We start from the raw sequence: 23,165 nt of genomic DNA, 5'->3' as shown, positions 1-23,165 counted from the left end.
AGTTCTAGGCTGCTTCTCTAGGGCATGGTTTCTCAATAACAGCACTATTAACACTTTGGACTGAATAATTCTTTTTGTGGAGGCTGCCTTCTGAATTGGAGAACGTTTGCAATCTCTCTTGTCATCTGCCCACAACACCAATAGCATCTAAGCCTCTAAGTTCCAAAATAGCATCAGCCTCTAAGTTCCAAAATTGTCTCCAGACATTGCCAAATGTCCCCTGGGGAATAAAATCAATTGTTGAGAACCTCTGCTCTGCTGTGATGTGCTAATACATACCATAGATTCAAAAGAACCACACATTGCTGAATCCTTTTTTTTTTTTTTTTTGAGATGGAGTCTTGCTCTGTCACCCAGGCTGGAGTGCAGTGGCGCAATCTTGGCTCTCTGCAACCTCCAAGTCCCAGGTTCGAGGAATTCTCCTGCCTCAGCCTCCTGAGTAGCTCAGACTGCAGGCTCCCACCACCACACCCAGCTAACTTTTGTATTTTTAGTACAGATGTTTCACCATGTGGGTTTCACCATGGTGGCCAGGCTGGTCTCGAACTCCTGACCTCAAGTGATCCTCCCGCCTCAGCCTCCCAAAGTGCTGAGATAACAGGCATGAGCCATCACGCCTGGATAGATAGCTGAGTTCTTTATCAATGAAAGAATTACAAGCACAAGAAAGACCTGGGACAGAAAGATACAAGATGCCAACTGCCAAACTGTGCCATTTTATTTTTTTCTATAGCACTTTGCTAATCATATATTGAAATCTTAGAAAATGAGTCTCTGAGCTGCCTCAATTTTCATAATTATTCATTCTTAGAATAGTCTAAGCCCAGACAATTTAGAGATGCGTCTAACTTAAATGTGCACCAGTTTCTTGACCATCTATACTTAGAAAGTCTCCATCCTCAGGATAAGCCCTACCCACCCGGGTAGAAGTTTGGTCTTTATTCTGTCGATTGGAGAGGCAGAAGGCAGTCTAAATATCACAAAAAGAATGGGAGATCACTTCAATCCCATTCTGGATCCTGGATTCTCTTTTCTTACCCTTCTGACACAGGTAATTTTGGTAGATTTCCCAGCATAAAGGGAGTTATCCTATTTAGTGGAGCTCTTAAGTTCAATGGCCATAGAAAGGATAAGCCATCCTTAGGTGATGAATTTATCTGCACTAAAACAAGTGTTTCAGGGCAAGCATTCAGTGAGGTGATATGACAGCATCTGGGTTTATATCAGAAATGCCTAATGACAGGCTCTGCTTAATCACAGTCTCCACTATTTCCTAATCTCCATTTGTTATCCCTCCTTGCAACCTTAATCTATTCCCTAGCTTCTTTCTATGCTTTCTATGCTTACTTTAAACTCCTATTCCCACTGCTCCTTGCCTCATTCTCGAAGTTTCCCAAATCAAATTCTCAAGAAAAGAGAGCTTGACTGACTTATCATTTTAAATAATAATAATGTGAGATAGTGTGATTTATAATAAGATATATATAGTGTTTGTTTTTGGCACAAAGCCCCTAAAGCCCTTGGAATTTTCTAAGAGCAATAAAGGTAACAGGAGCATCTTTTGTTATTCAGTCACACCAGAGTTTGTGTTAATGAGGTGACTTTTGGGAAGTCCCTAATGATAAGCAGGGCTGTTGCCATGGAAATCAACCATGTGGTTAGAGTTGGAACTTTCAGCCCAACCTCCAGACCAACCTCCAGGGAGGGGCATGTATATGCAATGAAGCCCTCATAAAAATCTGAAGGAACATTTTTCTTTTTCTTTTCTTTCTTTTTTTTTTTTTGGAGACGGAGTCCTGCTCTGTCACCTAGGCCAGAGTACAGTGACACAATCTTGGCTTACTGCAACCTCTGCCTCCTGAGTTCAAGCAATTCTCCTGCCTCAGTCTCCCAAGTAGCTAGGATTACAGGCATGTGCCACCACACCTGGCTAATCTCTTTTTAGTAAAGACGGGGTTTCGCCACATTGGCCAGGCTGGTCTTAAACTGCTGACCTCAGATGATCCACCCACCTCAGCCTCCCAATGTGCGGGGATTACAGGTGTGAGCCACCACACCTGGCTTAAGAACATTTTTCGAAGAGCTTCCAGGTTGCTGAACACATGGAGGTGCTGAGAGGGTGATGAGCCCAAGAATGCACGGAAGCTTCATGCTCCTTCCCACATACCTTGCCCTATGCCTCTCTTCCATCTGGCTCTTCCTGAGTTGTAATTTCCTTTTAAAGTAAACTGGTAATCAAATAAGTAAACTGTTTTTCTGAGTTCCGTGAACCATTCTAGCAAATGGTCAAATCTGAGGAGGAGGTCCTGTGAACCTTTAATTTATCTCCACCCAGTCTAAAGCACAGGTGAAAACCTGGACTTCCCATTCTCATTTCAAGTGGGGCCATGAAACCACCTTTGCAAAAATTATGACAGTGAGAGAAATCTGACATCTTTCTTCTAACATCACAAGCTAACTGCCTTTTTTAACTTTAAAACAAAGATGATAACAGTCCCTACCTGAAACTAATGCCCTCCTTGGTGGGGGACTGAAACTGCCTTTGTAAGACTAATGAAAGTCCACAAGGTTGGGCTTATGAGAAGAACTTAAATTCTGCTAAGATGTAGGTGTAATTAAATGATAACCAGACATTGTTCCCTAGCTTACCTTTCTATAATAGTTACTGCTCAAGAATCATGTAGCCAGAGGTCACAAGATTTTTAACTTCCCCTCTTGCTCCTATAGATAAAATCACTATTGTCAAAATCTAAGATTGGTCTCTGAGATATTTTTAAACTTTCGCATTCTGGCAACTAACTGACTCCACCCGGACCTGTGACTCATGCCAAGAAATTGACTCCCACGCAGAAACTTCCACCCAGAAACTGACTCAGCATGCGAAGACAGTTTGGATACTCCTATGATTTCATCCACAACTCATCAGCAGCACTCGTTCCCTAGTCCCCTGTCTGCCAAATTATCCTTAAAAACCCTAGCCCCTGAGCTCTTGGGGAGGCAGATTTAAGAATTATCTCCCATGCTTCCACTTGGCTGGCCTTGTGATTATCAAATGCTTTCTCTACTGCAACACCACTGCCTTGATGTATTGGTTTTTCTGTGCAGCAGGCAAGAAGAACCCACTTGAGCCATTATAGACAGTCTTATGAGACTGAGCTTTTAGTCCATGGGATCGGATGTTGTTTCCATGTAGATGGTGTCAGAACTGAACTGAATTATAGGACACATAGTAGGTGTCTGACAAACTGATGTAGAAAAACCTCCACACATTTGGTGATTAGAAGTGTTGAGTTGTAGTAGCAGTGGAGGAAATAGAATTCATTCCTTTGGTTCATGTAGAGAATTTTTTTTCAGAACATGTAATAGGATTGTGTCTTGTGCCAGTCAAAAAGTTACAGGTATTAACTCATTTAATCCTCACCTCAAACGAACTGAGTGGGAACAATCAATAAACTCATTTTACAGAATAAGAAAATTAAGGTCAAAATCAACTGGTAGACCTTGGATTTGGAACCAGACAGTCTGACTCCAACTCCCATGACCTTAACCACCTATGACTTGACAGGCATGGGTCAGGAGCCTGCTATCATCCAATTTTGGCAGCACCTGGTTACCACAAAGCATGTGGTCCCTATAGCAGAAGCTCAGGGTGAGGGCTACATTATTTAAAATCACATAGGCATGTGGCAGAAAACTGTTTGACCTAACAAAATAGCCATCCAACATGGCAACAAAGTCTACCTCAAGTGTGAAGTAAATAATTGGTTAACAAAAATACATTTTCTACACCATGAACACAGAAGAAAGCAGAAAAGGTAGGGCCAAGCTTTCCCTTTAAGCAACAAGATATATCAGGTTACAGTGGACCCATGATTTTATTGAACAAACTGAGTAAGGAAAAATTCCACCTATTCTTTTAAATGTTAACATTCTCATTGTTCAAAGTCTTCTTTTGAATCATCTCTCAGTGACCAAAATACACCTTGAAGCTCATTTTATTTTGTTACATTTATCTTATTTTTTTTTTTTGGCAGAATAGTGTCTATGTTAGAGAGCTTCTACCTCTAAAATATATCTTTCTGTTGCCTTTACCAATGAAAGAGAACTTTTCTAATCTTAAATAACTGCCTCATAATCTGGTCCCTGGTAAAGCATGCAGATATGTTTCCAAGTTCTGGAATTTGGTATTACATAAGAAAAGTTAGAGTTTAATTTTGGTTTCTTTATTCGCAAACTTTTTACTACTGCCTGAGTACTTATTTTTGTAAAAACCTTACAATTAATATAGTTTAAAGAATGTTATTGCAGCATTTTTTTTTGTTTTCAATTCTTTTTATTGGAATTTGTGAGCCTTTCCAATCTGCATACTTTGATCATTTTCAATGCAGGGTCATTTGCTTCTATTACATCTTTCATACTTGCTCTGTTTGTTTTATCTTTGTGGGTTCCTTAGGAATATGTAAAGTTCTTAGATGTATCTTCGAACTCCATTCTCTGTCCTCTATATCCATTACCTTTCTTTTTCCAGCCCCTCGTCCTCTTACCCTATGCCCTGGGGAAACTTCTCAAGTTTGTTTCCCATGTGTGTTCTGCAGTATGGAGTCTGCTCCTTGCTCCCTCAATGTGGGTGATATGGTTTGGATGTTCTGTCCTCTCCAAGTCTTATGTTGAAATGTGACTGCCCATGTTGGAGGTGGGCCTAGTGGGAGGTGTTTGGGTCATGGGGTCAGATTCCTCATGAATGTCTTGATGCTGTCCTCATGATAAGTGAGTTCTTACTCTGAGTTCACATAAGATCTGGTTATTTAAAAGACTGGCATCTCCTCTCTCTCTTTCTCTCTCTCTCTCACTCCATCTCTCACCATGTGATATGCTAGCTCCCCCTTCACCTTCCTCCATGAATAGAAGCTTCCTGAGGCCTCACCAGGAGCAGATGCTGGCACCATGCTTCTCATACAGCCTGCAGAACCATAAACCAAATAAACCCTTTTCTTTATAAATTATCCAGTCTCAGGTATTTCTTTACAGCAATGCAAGGACGGACTAATGCAATGGATATTTTATTACTTTTGTATTCCTTTACTTCCTTGCCACCGTTCACTATTCTTCCTATATCTATTTCCATCTCACCCTGGTGACTTTTCCTTTAGGCTTGCCCTCTTTTAGTAGCCTTGTGCTCCTGTTTCATAACAATCCCATCTTCTTGCATGCGCTCTTGTTTTTATAGGCCTCATTGATGCCTTTTTGTGATTGTTTATTCCTGGACAATGACACACATGCTCAGATTTGGTGTTTTCAATAGGCAGAGTGTGGATGGCTGATGCTTTTGGAAGCACCAGAGTGCTCTCTCTGCTTCCCCCCTCAACTTGCTTTGTAAAGAGATGAGAACTTTGAGAAAATGACTATTCAAGAACCTCATATATTTGGTGCAAGACTAGCTGTGGAGCCTTGTACTCTGAGAGATATAGTTTGCAAAATAAAGTATTATACTATTTAGTAGACTGTAGTACATAGCAATTTGTAGATTGTAGCTTTCTATAATTTCTCTCTTTCTAGAAAATCAAACTAGCAAGTGGCTCTGGGGAAGAAGATCTCATTCCAGTTCAGCAGAGCTATCCCAAAAGAAATCTAGTTAACACTGAGAATTTTTAAAACGAATTACGCACATGCTCCCCAGCAATAGATTTATCAGAAAACAAAATAAAACGAGACTCTATAATGCATCTTTTCTTGTCCAGTAACAAAAATATATAGCAATTTTAATTTGCATTTGTAATTTTTATTTGTAAAAGTTAAACAAATTTTAAATTACAAATTTTTACTTTTAAAGTTAAAAACATCATTAAAAATGTGAAAAATGGGCCGGGTGTGGTGCTCACACCTGTAATCCCAGCATTTTGGGAGGCCAAATCCCAGCACTTTTGGAGGCCCAGCACTTTGGGAGGACTTTGAGACTAGCCTGACCAACATAGTGAAACCCTGTCTCTACCAAAAATACAAAAATTAGCCGGGCGTGATGGTGTGCACCTGTAATTCCAGCTACTCTGGAGGCTGAGGTAGAATAATTGATTGAACCCGGAGGCAGAGGCTGCAGTAAGCCAAGATCGTTCCACTGCACTCCAGCCTGGGTGACAGAGTGAGACTCTGCCTCAAATTGAAAAAAAAAAAAAAAGTGAAAAATGTATAAAAATAGAAAGAAAAAATTACCCATAGTCCTACCACTCAACACAATGACCATGATTATTAACATTCTGTGGATTTCTTTCCAGTTTCTTTCTTTAGTATATAGTTTTAATTTGCAGTTTTTAATGTATAGTTTTTAATTTATAGATTGACAGGGAGAGGGATATATATAGATACATATGCAGACATATATAAACACAAAATGTTTCAGTATCTTTTTTTCAGCTAGAATTGTATTAAATGCATCTGGAATGTTATTCATAAACATGATTTTTAATGACACATTAAGTTGCATCAAAGTGATGTACCATAGCTACTTAGGCTGATTCTTACAACTCATCATTGAAGAAACCCTGCAGTAAATATTTCTAATAACTTTCCTATTATAAAGTACCAAACCTAGTGCTATTGAATCAAAGGGCATAAACATTTAAAATAGCTTATATATAGTTTACAAAAGTTTTGAACCACTTTATAGACCAATCAGCAAAACACAAATATGCTTATCGCATCTTGTTCTTACCAATATTAAATATTTTCATTAGTTTTATTATTTGGTTGGGTTAATTTTTTTAAATTTTAATTACCAATAACACCTAGTTTTAACATGTAATTGTGTACTAATTACATTTCTTCTTTGGGAAAATATTATGATTCTTACAGTGTGTCTTTAAAAGATGGACACCCCAGGCCAGGCGTGGTAGCTCATGCCTGTAATCTCAGCACTTTGGGAGGCTGAGGCAGGTGGATCATCTGAGGTCAGGAGTTCGAGACCAGCCTGGCCAAGATGGAGAAACCCCATCTCTATTAAAAATACAAAAAATAGCCAGGCATGGTGGCAGGCGCCTGTAATCCCAGCTACTCAGGAGGCTGAGGCAGGAGAATTGCTTGAACCCAGGAGGTGAAGGTTGCAGTGAGCCAAGATCACGCCATTGCACTCCAGCCTAGGTGACAGAGTGAGACTCCACCTCAAAAAAATAAAAAATAAAAAGACAGATACCCCAAAACAGAAGGAAAATATCTATCATATTGAGACAATTTTAAAAGGTTATGATCATCCCAAATGTAGAATTTCTAAAGTTATCATTCTCAAGGACTTACATTCTCATTTCTCATAGTCTGCCACACATAACCACTATTTTCTAGTTAAAGCAAACAATTTGCTATGTCTCATATAAGTTATATGCTCTCAAGCCTTTGATTTTGTCTATGTTGTTCCCTTTATCTCAAGTGTCTTTTGCCTTTTCCCAAACACACATAAACACACACACACACAGAAACGGTGGCCTTTGTCAGGCCCCAGTAGTACCTTGTTACCTCTCTCATTGCACCTAACATTCTGCATTATAATCATTAATATTCCTATTAGTTTTCCCAACTAGCTCATGGGTTCCTTGAGGGCAAGGCCATTTTATCTTTGATCTCTAGATTCTGCATTATTTATCACCGTGACTGGAGTAAAATAGAAGCTCAATGAATGGTTCTTTGAATATGGACAGTATTGAATAATAAACACAACTACAACTACCTTCCTAGCTGTAAAACTGAATGCTATTCTCAGTTATTGCCATGACTTTGAGGGGCAGCTTCAGACTGAAGAAGCTTATAGAAAGACTATAAGCTTCAGAGTCATCAGACTTAGGTTCAAACTCCCAGCTCTGCCATTCATAGGCTCAATGTCATAGGAATAATTACCTAACGTCCTTGAGACCCTATTGGAACAAATGGTGATCATAAAGCACACCTTATAGGATTATTTTGAATATAGAAGAGAAAATGAACATAGGTAAAGAATATGGCATATAGTAGTGGCTCAATAAATAGTAGACATTTTTCTAGTTATTGCTAATTAGTAAGACTATTTCCATTATGATAAATATTAACACATTTAAAAAAAACTGATTCTTATATATTTTTCTTTGCATCATCAAGTCAATAATACAAGGCCAGTTGTGCTATACACAGTCTTGTGCCTAGGCAGAAATATTTATTTTAAGTAAATCTTGAAAAAGAATTAGATCTAATCATAATTTTGAAAAATACAAATTATACTTTCCAAAGGCAAGATAAATAAAGCTCTCTATAAAATAACACATGATCCAATTATCTGGTACCTAATTTTTTTTGTTTGCCTCATTAATTTTGCTTGAAGTATTTAGAGACCTGAAATTACTATAAATAAAAAGTACTACAATCCCTGATGGCAGAAGAAAAGAACTTTCAGAACATGCTCTACTTTCCCCTTCTAAAAATAGATTGACTTGGGCCACACTAAAGAAGCATATGAAATCTGCCCTGTTGAAAATCGATTTAAACTGGTGGTCCATTTGGCACAAGGGTGTGCCCACACACATGCAAGTGCACACGTACACACACCAGAAACCCTCCGAAACGTGGCTTCTTCTGTTTATCACATAGCCATGATTCATGTGTGCCTTCCATGAAGCTAAAAGGCATTTTGCATTCATCTGCCAACCAGATGAACACAGGAAAAGTCATAAAAACTATACAGTTGAGGATGACACAAGTATTTGTTCAGAATGTATCTGCCAAGATCTTTTTCCCTCTCGCCCTACCTCAAACTCCATCCCAAGCTGTTTTTAAGTCCCACATGCTACAGTTTTCCCTTCAAGTGACAGCTTAGACAATCTCCCCCAGGATTTAGCAAACCCAGGCCTCATTCTGTACAATCCCATTCCATACAATCCTGCGTGATTAAACATAGCATGTGAAAGGCCAGTACAATGCTAGGCACCAAAACGTGCTCAATATTTAACTGTCTCCTCACTACCTTCCCTTCTGCAGCTCCTTAAGCATTCACCAGACCACTCCACGTGGACAGTTCCTTCCCCACAGGCTCAAAGTTGCTGCCCCCAGCAGAGATTTTCAGATGTGAAGCACAGGGGGTTTTCCATTTTTGAGGCTTCTGGCATCCTAAAATATGAAAAAAAAAAAATCCAATACAGATTTTTAAAAATAATAGTACCTTTTCAACTTTCATATCTGAGTAAAGAATGTTTTTTAAATACAATATATTCTATGATGGTATTTACAAGGTAACTACAGGATTTGTTAAAAAGATGCCACAGACAAGAATAGCCAAGGAATGCAACAGGAGTTTCAAATGCATGCTACGTGGCCTCTTCCAAATCTGTTAATTGCGTTTCTGTCTGTGTGTACAACCTCATTTGGAAGTGACATTTGAAATACACATTTGAAGTTCTTTGAAATGTAGCTCTTCGTTTAAAGGCCTTACTCCCACCCGCGCCCATCCTTGTCATAATGCTTGCCTCCAAGCATCTCCGGCAAGGAAACCACAAGCAAGTAATGAAGAAAATAGGGTGAGACTTGCCCTGAAAGAAGGTGGGAAAGAGAGGATTAGAGGAGCCAAATGAGGCCACTGCAGTGGGATCTACTTGTGGATGGAACTAGAGAAATTTCTTTCCGCAGCCTCCTAGCAACCCATTCACTGTTGTCAAGGAGGCCTTGACCCCCACTGGGATAAGCAGGGTCCCACACCAGCCTCCCAGGAGGGTGAACTAGATCAGGACCCCTGACAATCAAGCCAATGAATTAGCAGGGTATGACTAGAATAATGCTCCCCAGACCGCTCTGGCAGAAGGAAGCTATTCCTCCTGCAGAGAGGCATTAAGAGTTTATAACTTTTAAACTGAGACTGTTTTTCTGAAGTAATTACAAGGCACCAATGGACACTGAACACTGGGTACTATTTTAAATGATGAACTATTTTAATTGCAAGAGAAATAAACAATAAGAGATTTAAAGTTATTACTATAATGACAGACCCAAAAAAAAAAAAAAAACCAACAACATAGTAGTACATTTATGACTCAAAACTACCGGTTAAAGTATAACATTAAAAATACACCAGGGTATGATCTACCCATGCTATTGTGGAATTGTTGGGTTTGTGATGTGATGTGATGTGATGGTTTAATGCATTATTAAATTGTAGAAAAAAATTATACACACATAAATAGTATGGAGAGAGGGCCCATGATGTGGCAAACAGCACAGATTTGGCATTCTTCTCATCTTCTTACCCCTCCTTACCCCACTGCATTCTGGTCTCTGCCCCATCACTCCCTAGCCCCCAGTTTCCCTCAAACTGCATTTGTCAACAATGAAAGCTCATTGGTGCTAATCAATCTTGTCTTACTCCATCTCTCTCCATAGCATTTAACTCTGTGGACAACACTCTTCTTTCTGAAATACTCTCATTCTTGGCTTCCTGGACATCATCTCTTGGATGGATGCCATTTGATCACCTTATTCACTCCTTCTCTGTCTCCTTGCAAATGTTTCTTTATTTCTTCCTGCTCTCTTCAGTGTTGTTACTAAAGGTGCTATTGTTGGCTTTTTATTTTTTTCTTTCTCAATGTATATTATCTTTCAGGTGATGTCATCCACTCAAATGACTTCAAGCACTTTTCTCCTTGTAAAAGGACTTCCTGATCCACATCTCCAAGCCAGATCTTTCTCCTTAGCTCCAGACCTCTAGAGCCAACTGCCTGCCAGACACCTGTATCAATGACATTACTGTAGGAAAAACCACCCTAGAACAGTGACTTCAATCAATGATAACCATTTATTTTACTTACAAATCTGGAGGTTGACTGGGTTCAGCAAAGCAGTTCTCCCTCAGGGTCTCTCATGCAGTTGTGGTCAGACAGTGACTGGGGCTGAAATTACCTAAGTCTCCTTCATTCGAACATCTGTCTCCTGGGCTGGGAAGACTTGACTAGCTGGGGGCTTGAACTCCAAACCATCTCTCTTATATATAGGTATACAATCACTCTATGCAGTGGCCTCATGGTAGCCACACTCCTTACATGACAACTGAAAGCTCAAAAAGAAAATATCAGCCTCTCATATCCAGAACTGATCTGACATTCACAGCTAAGCCATGTCATTCTCTTGTTGGACATATACAATCTTATAGAACACCAACCTCAGACAAAGTTACTCTGCGACCAAGATAAAATGAAACAAAATCAGCCTACTTCATCATTTGTGTAAGGACAGACAAAACAAGGTCACTATGCCACCTATAAAATATACAACCCTAGAATTACTCCCATTTTCTGAGAGCATTCAATCTAGACCAAACCCCTGATTCCTTTTTTTTTTTCTTTTTTTTTTTTTTGAGACAGAGTCTCGCTCTGTCACCCAGGCTGGAGCACAGTGGCGCGATCTCAGCTCACTGCAAGCTCCGCCTCCTGGGTTCACGCCATTCTCCTGCCTCAGCCTCCTGAGTAGCTGGGACTATAGGCACCCGCCACCACGCCCGGCTAATTTTTTGAATTTTTAGTAGAGACGGGGTTTCACCGTGTTAGTCAGGATGGTCTAGATCTCCTGATCTCGTGATCCACCTGCCTCGGCCTCCCAAAGTGCTGGGATTACAGGCGTGAGCCACCGTGCCTGGCCACCCCTGATTCCTTAAACCTTCCCCCAAATCACCCAACCAAAGCCCAAATCTTATAATAGGTTCTTTCTAAAACCCTCTTACTGAGATAACCTATGGTTCCCCCTGGTGAATGTTCTGTCTTGCTACAATAAGCAATAAATCCAATTTGTTTAGCTGCAGGGGTGTTCCTGGGGGGCTTTGGTGGAAGGACACTAATAGCTCCCAGAGCAAGTGTCTCCAGAGAAACAAACATGGTCTTTTCTAAACTAGCCTTGGACATCACATTCCTGCATTCTATTCATCAGATCTGTCACAAAGGCCCATTTAGATTCAAGGGGAGGAGACAAAGACATCACCTCTTGATGGAAACAGTGTCAAAGAATTTTCAGACATGTTTTAAAACCATCACAACATCTATATTCAGATGCCCACAGCAACTTAATAGTCATCAGTTCCAATACTGAACGCATGATCCATTCTCCTGTTTTTGTACCTTTTCCTAGGTACAATTTGTCCGCAGGACTTGGCCACTTCCTCAATGGAAAATCCAGGTCATCCTCACTACTTCCCACTCATCTCATCACTCACCAACTTGTTCTTTTAGGGTAGATGCAGTTAAGCCACACATTTTCAGAACACATTGCAGGTGAGTTATGAGTTTGAGCAGCTGTACCACCTGAATCTGTTCCACAGAAGCTCCCACAACTGCTACCTACAAACAATCAGTAGTGGAGGAAACAGCTCAGGCCTGGTGCATAATTGGGCTAGTGTGATTTATTGCCTCTAGCCAGAGATAGTCTGCTGTTGCATTTCATCCTCACTTGAGGTGGCCCCAAAGAAGAGAGGTAAAGGGAAATCCTCCCAGTGGGGAAAACTATGAGCAACACACTTAGTTATTCATTTCATATGGAAGAAAAGACCAGATCCTTAAGTATGCACTGGCTTCTAAGCAGTAGTGAATGGCTTGGCCATTTCGACAGGACAAGAAAAAAAGATTTGAAGCTCAGAGAAAAGGTGTGGGGAAAAAAATGTATGTGGACAACCCTACGGAAATAAACACAAAGCAGATCTCACACTACCGCCCGACTGCAAAGAAGACTCTCAACAACCATGTGCTCAGGATGATCCATCCTGCCTTTTAGCCGGGCCGTCTTTAGCCACCCCAGTTCTTGTGCAGGAAAGCCCATAAATAGTGTCTCTAGTGCTGCAATCACTATGGTGCTATGCATGGTCATATTTGAGCTCCCACTTACAAAAGATAATTCAGCTACTGTCAATGCTAAATTTCCAACCTGTCAGCCACGGAATCTGATGCCAAGACCTTGACATAGTACCGTTCCTCAGGGAGGGTAGCTACACAACCATCTATCGGAACCATCTGTCTTGGAGGGAAAAGCAACGTGTCCTTACCAGAATCAACACATATTCTGAGTATGGATTTACCTTTTCTTCCTGCAGTTCCTCTACCAGTACCACCATCCAAGGGCTCACCAGTACCTGGTCTATCAGTATGGTGCCCCTTACGATATAGACTAGGACCAAGATGACATTTTACAGCAAAGGAAGTTCACCATGGTGCACATTTATCATGGGAGTCACTGGTCTTATCATTTACTCTATACCCTAGAAACACCTAAAATGATGGAATAGCCTGGTAAAGGCTCAGTTACGGCACCAGCTTGGGAAGAAAACGTTGTGGGCCTGGGAAATTACCTTCATGATATGGAATACACACAGCACTAACAGCTGATACATGGTTCGCCGCCCAGTAGCTAAAATGCATGGGTCGAGGAACTAAAGAATAGAAATATGATCGAACCTGCTCATTAGAACTCCCAGTGAATGACCATAAAAGTTTGTGCATTCTGTCCCTGAAAACTCAGGTTTTCTGGATTAAAGATCTTATTTCTTGGAGTAGAGTGACATTTCTACCAAGAAACACATTAATGTCCCCACTGACCTGGAAGCTGAAATTACCAAAGGATTACTTTGAGTTCCTCAAGCCAGTGAGCCAGCAAGCAAAGAAAGGAATTACTGTTTGGCAGAGCCCATAGACCACGATTTCCTTGAGGAGCTAGGGTTACTACACAACAGAAGCAAGAAAGAACATGTCTAAACCCCAGGAAAACCGACAGCTCTGTCCACACTTTTTGATAGAGGACTTGGGGAATATTCATGATTTCTGAAGACATCTTGGTATCTCTGTGTCCAATGACCCTAGCAAATGAGCAATTACAGCAAAGATGAGACAAAAAAAAAAAAAAGAAAAAAAAAAAAAACAGGGAGAGAGAGAGAAGACAAATAAAACCCTTTCTTTCATTTTTGTTTTTTCTTTTGTTGTTGTTGTTGTTTTTCTTTTGTTTGTTTTTTTTTTTGAGATGGAGTCTCGCTCTGTCACCCAGGCTGGAGTGCAGTGGCACAATCTCGGCTCCCTGCAACCTCCGACACCCGGGTTCAAGTGATTCTCCTGCCTCAGCCTCCCGAGTAGCTGGGATTACAGGCACCCGCCACCACACCCAGCTAATTTTTGTACTTTTGAGTAGAGATGGGGTTTCACCACATTGGCCAGGCTGGTCTTAAACTCCTGACCTCAGGTGATCTGCCCACCTCAGCCTCCCAAAGTGCTGGGATTACAGGCATGAACCACCACACCCAGCCAATAAAACGCTTTCAAACAAGGGTCTGGGTCACCTCACCAAGGGAATAATAGATAATCAAAACAATTTTATGCCAGTGTGTGGATAGCTCCCTACTTATTTAACAAGTCTGGTATTGTTGAGCCTTTAACTTTTGTATCATTCAAGGTCCAAGTGGAAGACAAAAACTATGATAATTATTTGAACAGGGAAAATTTAATGTTCCAAAAATTACCTACTAAAAGATATATAAAGGAGGACTCTAAGAGGCCCAGGCATCAAGAATTTTAAAAGGAGCTATTATTTCTAGGCTGAGGAAGAAGAACAGTAAAGGCACTAAGGATGAGGACAAGCCCTCCTTGCCCCAAGGCTGAGATTCAGACCTCTTCAGAGAGATAGTAACTACCACAGGCAGCCTGCAGGAACAAAGAAACGACTGAGTGCAAAGGCTGGCATTGATCCATAAAAGCAATCTATCATCACTGGTGGATGAGAGTGGTTGGAAGCTGGTGTACAGGAGTGACCTTCCTTTGCTTGGTGCTGCGGGTGGGCCAGAGTTCATCTATAGAAGTGACCCACCATTGCTGGAGGGTATGGACAGGCTGAAGTTACTCTGAAATCGCTGCTGGTAGGGAAAGATGGCCTGTAGGTGCACCTGGAGCCTCTATTCCATTGCAGGGTCTCTCCAGTGCCCTCAATTGACAAAGTTGAATATCCCCCAAATTTGCAAAAGAGAAAGATCCACAGGGTCCAGCTCCATTCACACAAAGCAAGATAAACAAGGGTGGATTTGGAGCTCAGAGACATAAACTGATATCTGCCACCTTGCAAATTTTTATTGTTATAGATAAAATTATTATCAACATTCAAATAATTCTTTGCAGATATCTTATGATTATTTTCCTTAGGATAGATTCCAAGAGGTAGAATTAACAAGACAAACTATTTATATGTTTAAAAATATTTGAGTATATAATAATAAAATTTCCTTATAAATGTGCCAATTTATGTTCACCCGAGGAGAGTATGAATATATGAAGGAAGCCTAAGCACAATCTGCATGATTCTCGGAGGGTGATTTTCTAGAACAAATTCTCAGACACTGAGTGATCTTAGCTGACTGCCCAGTTTAGCCAGCTTTTGTTCTCTACTCATTTGCTGTACAGCCTTTCTGTAGAGTGATTTTAGTTTGCTTATTAAAGTGGCTCTCAAAGCAGAGATAAAACTAAAGTTCTAAGAGTCAGGAAAAGATTTTTTTTAATCTTACATGAGAATATTCACAAGCAACATTTGATTCTTGAAAGAAATACAATTCAGGAAAACCAACAGCTATGTCCACACTTTTGGATTGAGGACTTGGAAAATATTCACGATGTCCTCTCACAAATGTCAAAGGTCTCCTGTAAGACACTAACTCCCAGGGATGTTGTGAGGGTCAGTAATTACGTGTAAGGCACACAGGGGGAGTCAATAAATAGTAGCTTGATCCCCTGAGAGCATTGCTGTTAAATTGCTAAGAATCCAAGGATATATGTTTTTCATTTTATTAAAGTTGTTTTCAATGTGTATGTAAATATGCCCTTTATGGCCAAGCTAAATCTGTGTTACAATAACGTGTTATTCTCTGATGACTAGTTACAGATTGTATTGTATCTCAAGAGGTATTTTCTATACATTTGTGTAATCAGTTATGAAAAGACATAAGGAATAAGGGCAATTCACCATTTTAAAGAAATTAACCTCATAAGGGGAGCCTTCTTCTAAGTGGCTCACTTGGTTGCCAAGTAGACTGACGTCAATCAGTCATGATGCAGTTAGTGAAAAGTTCTTTGACACAGGTGGGTGGTGCAAGTGTTTACACCAGGCATAGTAAACTCATTTTCAGCTAACTCAGAGCATAAAGCAATAATATTTGCAGGGACATTTAGGTGAAGAATCTCCTTCTGAGGTTAATTTCTTTAAAATAGTCAATTGCCTTTATTCTTTACATCCTTTCATAGCTAACTACGGCAATGTATAGAAAATACCTGGAGGTACCATGTAATTACTATAATTACTATAAATCTACACTGGTCAGATCTTCAGATCCTTGAAGGTCAATCTTTAGTCACTTATTAATCACCCCATGATAAATTCAACTATACCAAATTTGGCCATTTTTCTCCAGATTTAAGAGATAAGTACGAAATTTTGCACACATAGATGAAGTATCCAGGACCATGTCAAAGTAATAGAAATCTGGCTAGGTATGGTGGTTCAGGACTGTAATGCCAGCACTTTGAGAGGCTGAGGTAGGAGGATCACTTGAGTCCAGGCATTCAAGATCAGCCTGGACAACATAGTGAGACCTCATTGCTACAAAAAAAAAATTCTTTTTTTAATTAGCCAGGCATGGTGGTGCCTGCCTTATAGTCCCGGCTACTCAGGAGGCTGAGGTGAAAGGATCATTTGAGCCCAAGAAGTCAAGGCTTCAGTGAGCCATGAGTACACCACTGCACTCCCGTCTGGGCAACAGAGCCAGATCCTATCTTAATAATAATAATCTAATTTTTAAAACATAACCACATTTTGTACTTTTGACATTTTTTTCTTTGCTTGGCAATAATGGACTTGAGCATGTCACTTTGCTTTTTGGTGACTTAAAAATTTTTTAAATTAGGCCAGGCACAGTGGCTCCCGCCTGTAATCCTAGCACTTTGGGAGGGTGAGGTGGGTGGATTCCAAGGTCAAGAGATTGAGACTATCCTGGCCAACGTGGTGAAACCCCGTCTCTACTAAAAATACAAACATTAGCTGGGCATGGTGGCACATGCCTGTAGTCCCAGCTGCTCAGGAGGCTGAGGCAGGAGAATCACTTGAACCCAGGAGGTGGAGGTTGCAGTGAGCCGAGATCACACCACTGCACTCCAGCCTGGTGACAGAGCGAGACTCTGTCTCAAAGTAAATAAATAAATAAATTAATTAATTAATTAATTAATTAAATAAGTTAAATTAGATCTGTAGTTTCCTACCTGGAGGATCAAATCCCTAAACACAGGTACAAGCATTGTCTATAACCTAAAAAATAATGTACTTTTCTATTCATATGCTTTTGTTTTTATAAAATATATTAATTTTTAATTTTTTGTTTAGTAAATACTAGTTAAATAACATATTTTGTATTAAAAAAATATAAAATTATACATGCTAACTGTAGAAGATTGGAACATAAAGAGAAACTAGAATACAACCACCTGTAATCCTGCCACACAGATATAGCAACTATTCACATTTCACCATTTATTCATTCAGTTTTCTTTTTATGGATATTTATACCTAGATCATTTAAAATAAACTGGAATATACTGCATGCATAATATTTTATGACTTGTTGTGTGTGTTTTACAGCATATTGTAAACATCTTCCTAAATCATAAACTTCTCTTCTACAAGGTTTAAATGACATTTCTATATATAAGGGCACACTGCTAGTTTTGAATATTTAAGTTGTGTCTAATATTTCATTATTTTAAATAATGCTGCTATGAGTATCTACGATATGATTAAATTTGTATCTTGACAAATTAAGATTTATTATTCTTAATGTTCACATTATTCCATTTCTGGACACTGGGGGCCTCTTCATGGTGGCTCCTGAGTTCTTTTGATACAATTACTATAGTCTTTCATAGTGTATCTGCTTTTCAGTATGACAAATGTTCCAGGAACTTTTTGTATGTGTTCTGCTCTGTATCTGAAAACATCCAATTCTCCAAGGAGCCCTCATTCCTTTTAGTGGAAAATGGCATTTGGAGAGCACCATCTGGGCACTAGGGCTGTTTATTGTCGTTGCTACTGGCTTGGTAATTGTTGCGAGTTCTATTCAGGAGACTGAATTTGAAAATAATTTTTTAAAAGAAAACACATTATGAGTTTATACTGAGGTTTCCAGTTTAAATTTAAGATAACATTTTTACTGGCTTCTTTAATTTTATATTTTTCTTTGTTTTTCTCTGAAATCTTGGTCCCTAATGGCATTAACATAATCATGTTTATACATTATCCTAATAGCTGTGCATCCATATGTTATGATAAGCATAAACATGATTACATTAACATATGTATTATAAATATAACTGTTTTAAAATAACAATACCAAAATTACTATTTATGATATAATTATTGAAAACTATTCAGGATTGTTGCAGTTCATTTTAACTTTATTTATATCTTGCTTATTTTTACCTTTATTTATATTTACCTTTATTTCTATCTCGATAGGGATGCACAGTCACATCAGTATGTGTTAAAGTCACTTGAAATAATTTCTGTCTGTGTGGTTATGCTACCAACTCAACTTACAGTTAGTTTAATGTGTTTCTTTTGACTTCCTTTTTAGAAATTGTTCCTTTTTTATTCTATTTTTTTCTTAATTATGGAAAATACTAACTTGGCTTCAAAGTCAAATGTACTAAAAAGAGATCCAGACAGGCAGGCATGGTAGTTCACACCTATAATCCCAGCACTTTGGGAGGCCATGGTAGGTGGATCACTTAAGGTCAGGAGACCAGCCTGGCCAACATGGTGAAACCCAGTCTCCACTAAAAATACAAAAATTAGCCGGGCGTGGTGGTGGGCACCTGTAATCCCAGCAACTCGAGAGGCTGAGGCAAGAGAGTCACTTGAACCCCGGAGGCAGAGGTTGCAGTAAGCTGAGATCAAGCGACTGCACTCCAGCCTGGGTAACAAAATGAGACTTTGTCTCAAAAAAAAAAAAAAAAAAAAAAAAGATGTACCCAGAGAAGTCTCGCTCCTATCCTTGTCTTCACCTTTTTCCTCTGTCCCTCTAGAAATCACACATACACACACACACACACACACACACACACACACACACACACACCACACATAGACTTCTTGGGTAAATGGTAACCACTATTCACATTTTCTCTAGTTTGCTCTTTCACTTAACAGCGCTTCCTGGAGATTACCACTGGCAGTGAGTAGAAATAGATCTTATTCCTTCTCTCAGCTGTGTGATGCAGCTATAACATCTTGGGTTCACACAGTCTCGATTAGTGGACATTTGGGTTGTTTCCAGTCTTTTCTCTTAAAAATCATGCTGCAGTAAATAACCTTGAATACAATTATTTTCATGTTTTCAGGTGCTATTATTTTTTAATTTATATAAATGCCTGTGTGATGAATAAAATACAAGTTATTTTGGAACATCACTGAATTCACAGTGGTCTTATGCCATTTGGTATTATCTCATTTAATATATTTACAACTTGCGGCTGCCATCATGTGATGGTCAGAGAAAATCTCAAACATTTAAAAAGAGACCACAGGCCAGGCACAATGGCTCATGCCTGTAATCCCAGCATTTTGGGAGGCTGAGGCAAGCGGATCACTTGAGGTCAGGATCAAGACCAGCCTGGCCAACATGGTGAAACCCCGTCTCTACTAAAAATACAAAAAAATTAGCCGGACATGGTGGCTGGCACCTGTAATCCAAGCTACTCAGGAGGCTGAAGCAGGAGAATCATTTAAACCCAGGAGGCAGAGGTTTCAGTGAGCCGAGATAGCACCCCTGCACTCCAGCCTGCGCAACAGAGCAAGACTCCATCTCAAAAAATAAATAAATAAAAATAAAAAGAGAGAGAGACCACATACAGGACTGCATAAGCGTTTTTCATATCCAAAAGGAAATAAATGAATAACTCTTGAAGGAAAAATCATCCTATATATCTCTGTCTAATTTTTAACTTAATTTTGCTTAAATACATAATACAAAATGAAATATAAATGCCTTATGATTATAGTCCTTATATAATAATGGCAAGACTAAACAATTTTACAAAGTCAAAGCAAGCAGACCTACAAAGGAAACAACATTCAAATCAACAACACTAATGTGATTTGATGGATGATGTGGCTCCCATGAAAGCTAGCCAGCTCCTTCCTTGTGAACATGCTACCAACTACAGCGGGGGTGGGAACAGCAGTGGGTGGGAGCAGGTTCTTGGGAATGTGGTTCATTCATCCTTTTGTGCCTTTAAAAGGATTGATTTTCCAACTGCTTTCCTCCATTCACAGCCCTGTCCTGCAATATTCTAGCCCATTCCATTATTGGGCATTTAGTTTAGGAAAATGCATCACTTACAAATTAGGTTGATATCTGCTCTGTTCTTATTGGACTTCAACAATAAAAGATATACTGCTCAGTACTAACACAACCTTGATTGTACATTAGTACTAAGCCCTAAAGTTCAGTGTAATGATCCTGAACATTACATATATGTATGTAATGTGTGTTTCTGTGTATACTTACTCATTTTAGATTTCCCCATTTCATGTCTAGTAAACAGTAGAGCTGAGATTCAAACCGAGGTCTATCTGTTCCACTGCACCACGCAGACTAAAACAGTGATCTTTCATGGCCTGGAATTATAAAGGTAGAAGTGGTTGTGATTCATTTGGAGGGGACTTGGATCTGAATCCAGATAACTGTAGCACAGTTCTGCTGTAAACCAACTTTGTGAATTTTACCTGTCCCTGACCCTGTCACAGTTTGAGCTTCCCCAACTATAATGTGAAGAGACGGCATTAAATCATTGCTAGGGCCTTTACAGTTATAATTTCTGTGAATGTTCCATGCTGGCAAACATCCCATATATGACAGAGGAATGACTCAAGTAATATTCTCTGTTTTAGCAGTGGAGTTTCCACTTTCATCCCTAAGCATCAACAAATGGGGTCAATAGCGGGCACGGTGGCTCACGCCTGTAATCCCAGCATTTTGGGAGGCTAGGGCCGAGGAATCACCTGAGGTCAAGAGTTCGAGACCAGCCTGACCAACATGGTGAAACCCCATCTCTATTAAAAAAAATTAGCTGAGTGTGGTGACGGACGCCTGTAGCCCAGCTACTCAGGAGGCTAAGGCACAAGAATTGCTTAAACCCGGGAGGCAGAGGTTGCAGTGAGCCAAGATCGTGCCATTGAACTCCAGCCCGAGCGACTGAGTGAGACCCTATCTCGAAGAAAAAAAAAAAAAATAAGAAAGGTGTCAAAGCAAAAAGAGAGGCTGGAAAATTATTCTGTGAATTTGGGGAGTATCTATTCCAAACAACTTAATGCTAAAGGATGACCATTTGATTGAAGGATATGGTTTTTTAAAAACCTATACATTACTATGGAATCACCACATTGAAGTCGAAAAGACATTTTGGAAATAACTTAATGTAATCTCTCATTTTACAGAAGCAGTTATGTGATTTCCCTAAGATCACGCAGCTTATTTGTACTATAGATGGGACTTATTACCTGGGTTTTTAAGATCCAATACACCATAATGCCCTCAAAATTATCTTTTCACATTTATCATCAAAAGTACAGAAAAGGAAAGCAGTCTCAGAGAGTGGTTGAAAATAGGCTCTAAAATTAAATTGTCTGGGTGCAAATTCCAACAGTATCACTGACTGTGTGACTTTCAGCCAAGTACATAACCTCTTTATGACTCAGTTTTCTTCATCTATAAAATGGAGATGACAATAATTGCACACCCCTCCAGTTTACCAGGAGAATTAAAATAGTAATACATGTAAGTTGTTTAGTATATTGCCTGACACATAGGAAATGAAAAATATTAACTAGAATTAAGATTAAACTATGTATTTAACATACTGGCTTAATTTGGTTTAATTTTGGTTTAATGTTGAAGCCAAATTTGGTTTAATATTTCAATTATACTTATTTCACTGGTATGCAGGATCAGAATTATCCTAAAATGATATTTCAAGGATTGTAAGTTTAGAAGCTATCCTATAACTGGCTGGGCTCAGTGGCTCACATCTGTAATCCTAGCACATTGGGAAGCCAAGGCGGGTGGATTGCCTGAGCTCAGGAGTTTCAGACCAGCCTGAGCAACATGATGAAACCCTGTCTCTACTAAAATACAAAAAATTAGCCAGGTATGGTGGCAGGCACTGTAATCCCAGCTACTCAGGAGGCTGAGACACAAGAATCACTTGAACCTGGGAGGCGGTGGTTACAGTGAACCGAGATCACGCCACTGCATTCTGGCCTGGGCAACAGAGCAAGACTCTGTCTCCAAGGGGGAAGAAAAAGTTATCCTGTAATAAAAGGTGTCTAATAGCAAAAATGAACTCTAATTTTAAGAAGATTGGACCCAAGTATAAAGCTGTTTTTCACTGTAATATTTTAAGGCCAAGTTATTCCCTTGAAAACCTTGCAAAAATTAATCACAAATTACATATAAGCAGCATTTCTTCCACTGTTTTTCTCAAGACGTGTCCCTCATTAAGCAGTTGATGATCTGATTTTTGCCAGTGTATAGACATTGCTTTAACATCACCACATTTAACTAACAGCAATTAAATCCATTTAACACACTAAGTATGAATTTCAAAAGGCCTTTATGACTGTTTATCTCATCTTTATGGACCTTTAAACTTAATAGCTTTGGTTGCAATAAAGAAGTGATTTCCAAAAGTTAAGCATCTCTTCAAGGCCACTCCAGGCTTTCCAGCTGATCAAAATTATGACATCATCCAAACACTGACCTCCATGTGTCATTGTTCTTCAAACTGGACACAAACAAACAATGTGTGGGGGTGAAGGTGGGGAGTGTCATGGTCTCTGGTCATTGAACAAGGACATTAGTCAAAGGAAATATCAGTTCAGTTCAAGAATACCAACGTTGCAGTTCTGCTCAGGTTCAATAGTTTTAGGATAATATATAGGCTCCTTTAAAATTCACAGTATAATAGCCCATATCAGTTACCATCCTTTCCTCTCTTTCTCATTCTGAAATGTTAAAGTATCTAGTTTTAAACATAGAGCCCCAGAAGAATATAATGAAAAGGACTAGCTCATGGCCACACTGCCCAGCCTACCTTTTCCAATCACTAATTTTC

At 39.5% G+C, this 23,165-nt stretch overlaps 1 protein-coding gene across 2 annotated transcripts in view; it reads right to left on the bottom strand.

Annotated features, from left to right (window-relative positions):
- TMC1 (transmembrane channel like 1) overlaps nucleotides 1-23,165 on the bottom strand; it is a 316,690-nt gene that overhangs the window by 201,260 nt on the left and 92,265 nt on the right. Inside the window, exons 3-4 of one of the 2 annotated variants that reach the window (NM_138691.3) lie at nucleotides 20,561-20,670; nucleotides 8,975-9,117 (exon numbers count right to left, since the gene is read on the bottom strand). Coding sequence is in view for 1 of the 2 variants with exons in the window: in XM_017014256.2 (XP_016869745.1) it covers nucleotides 20,561-20,579 (19 nt within the window). In the remaining variant the exon portion in view is untranslated. The remainder of the gene's footprint in view (nucleotides 1-8,974; nucleotides 9,118-20,560; nucleotides 20,671-23,165) is intronic. The other variant, XM_017014256.2, reaches the window with a different exon arrangement.

Source organism: Homo sapiens, chromosome 9 (assembly GCF_000001405.40).
Source record: "Homo sapiens chromosome 9, GRCh38.p14 Primary Assembly".
In the NCBI taxonomy this organism is placed as follows: domain Eukaryota; kingdom Metazoa; phylum Chordata; class Mammalia; order Primates; family Hominidae; genus Homo; species Homo sapiens.
The sequence above is the reverse complement of the archived record's forward strand: the minus strand, read 5'-3'. Positions and strand labels throughout refer to the sequence as shown.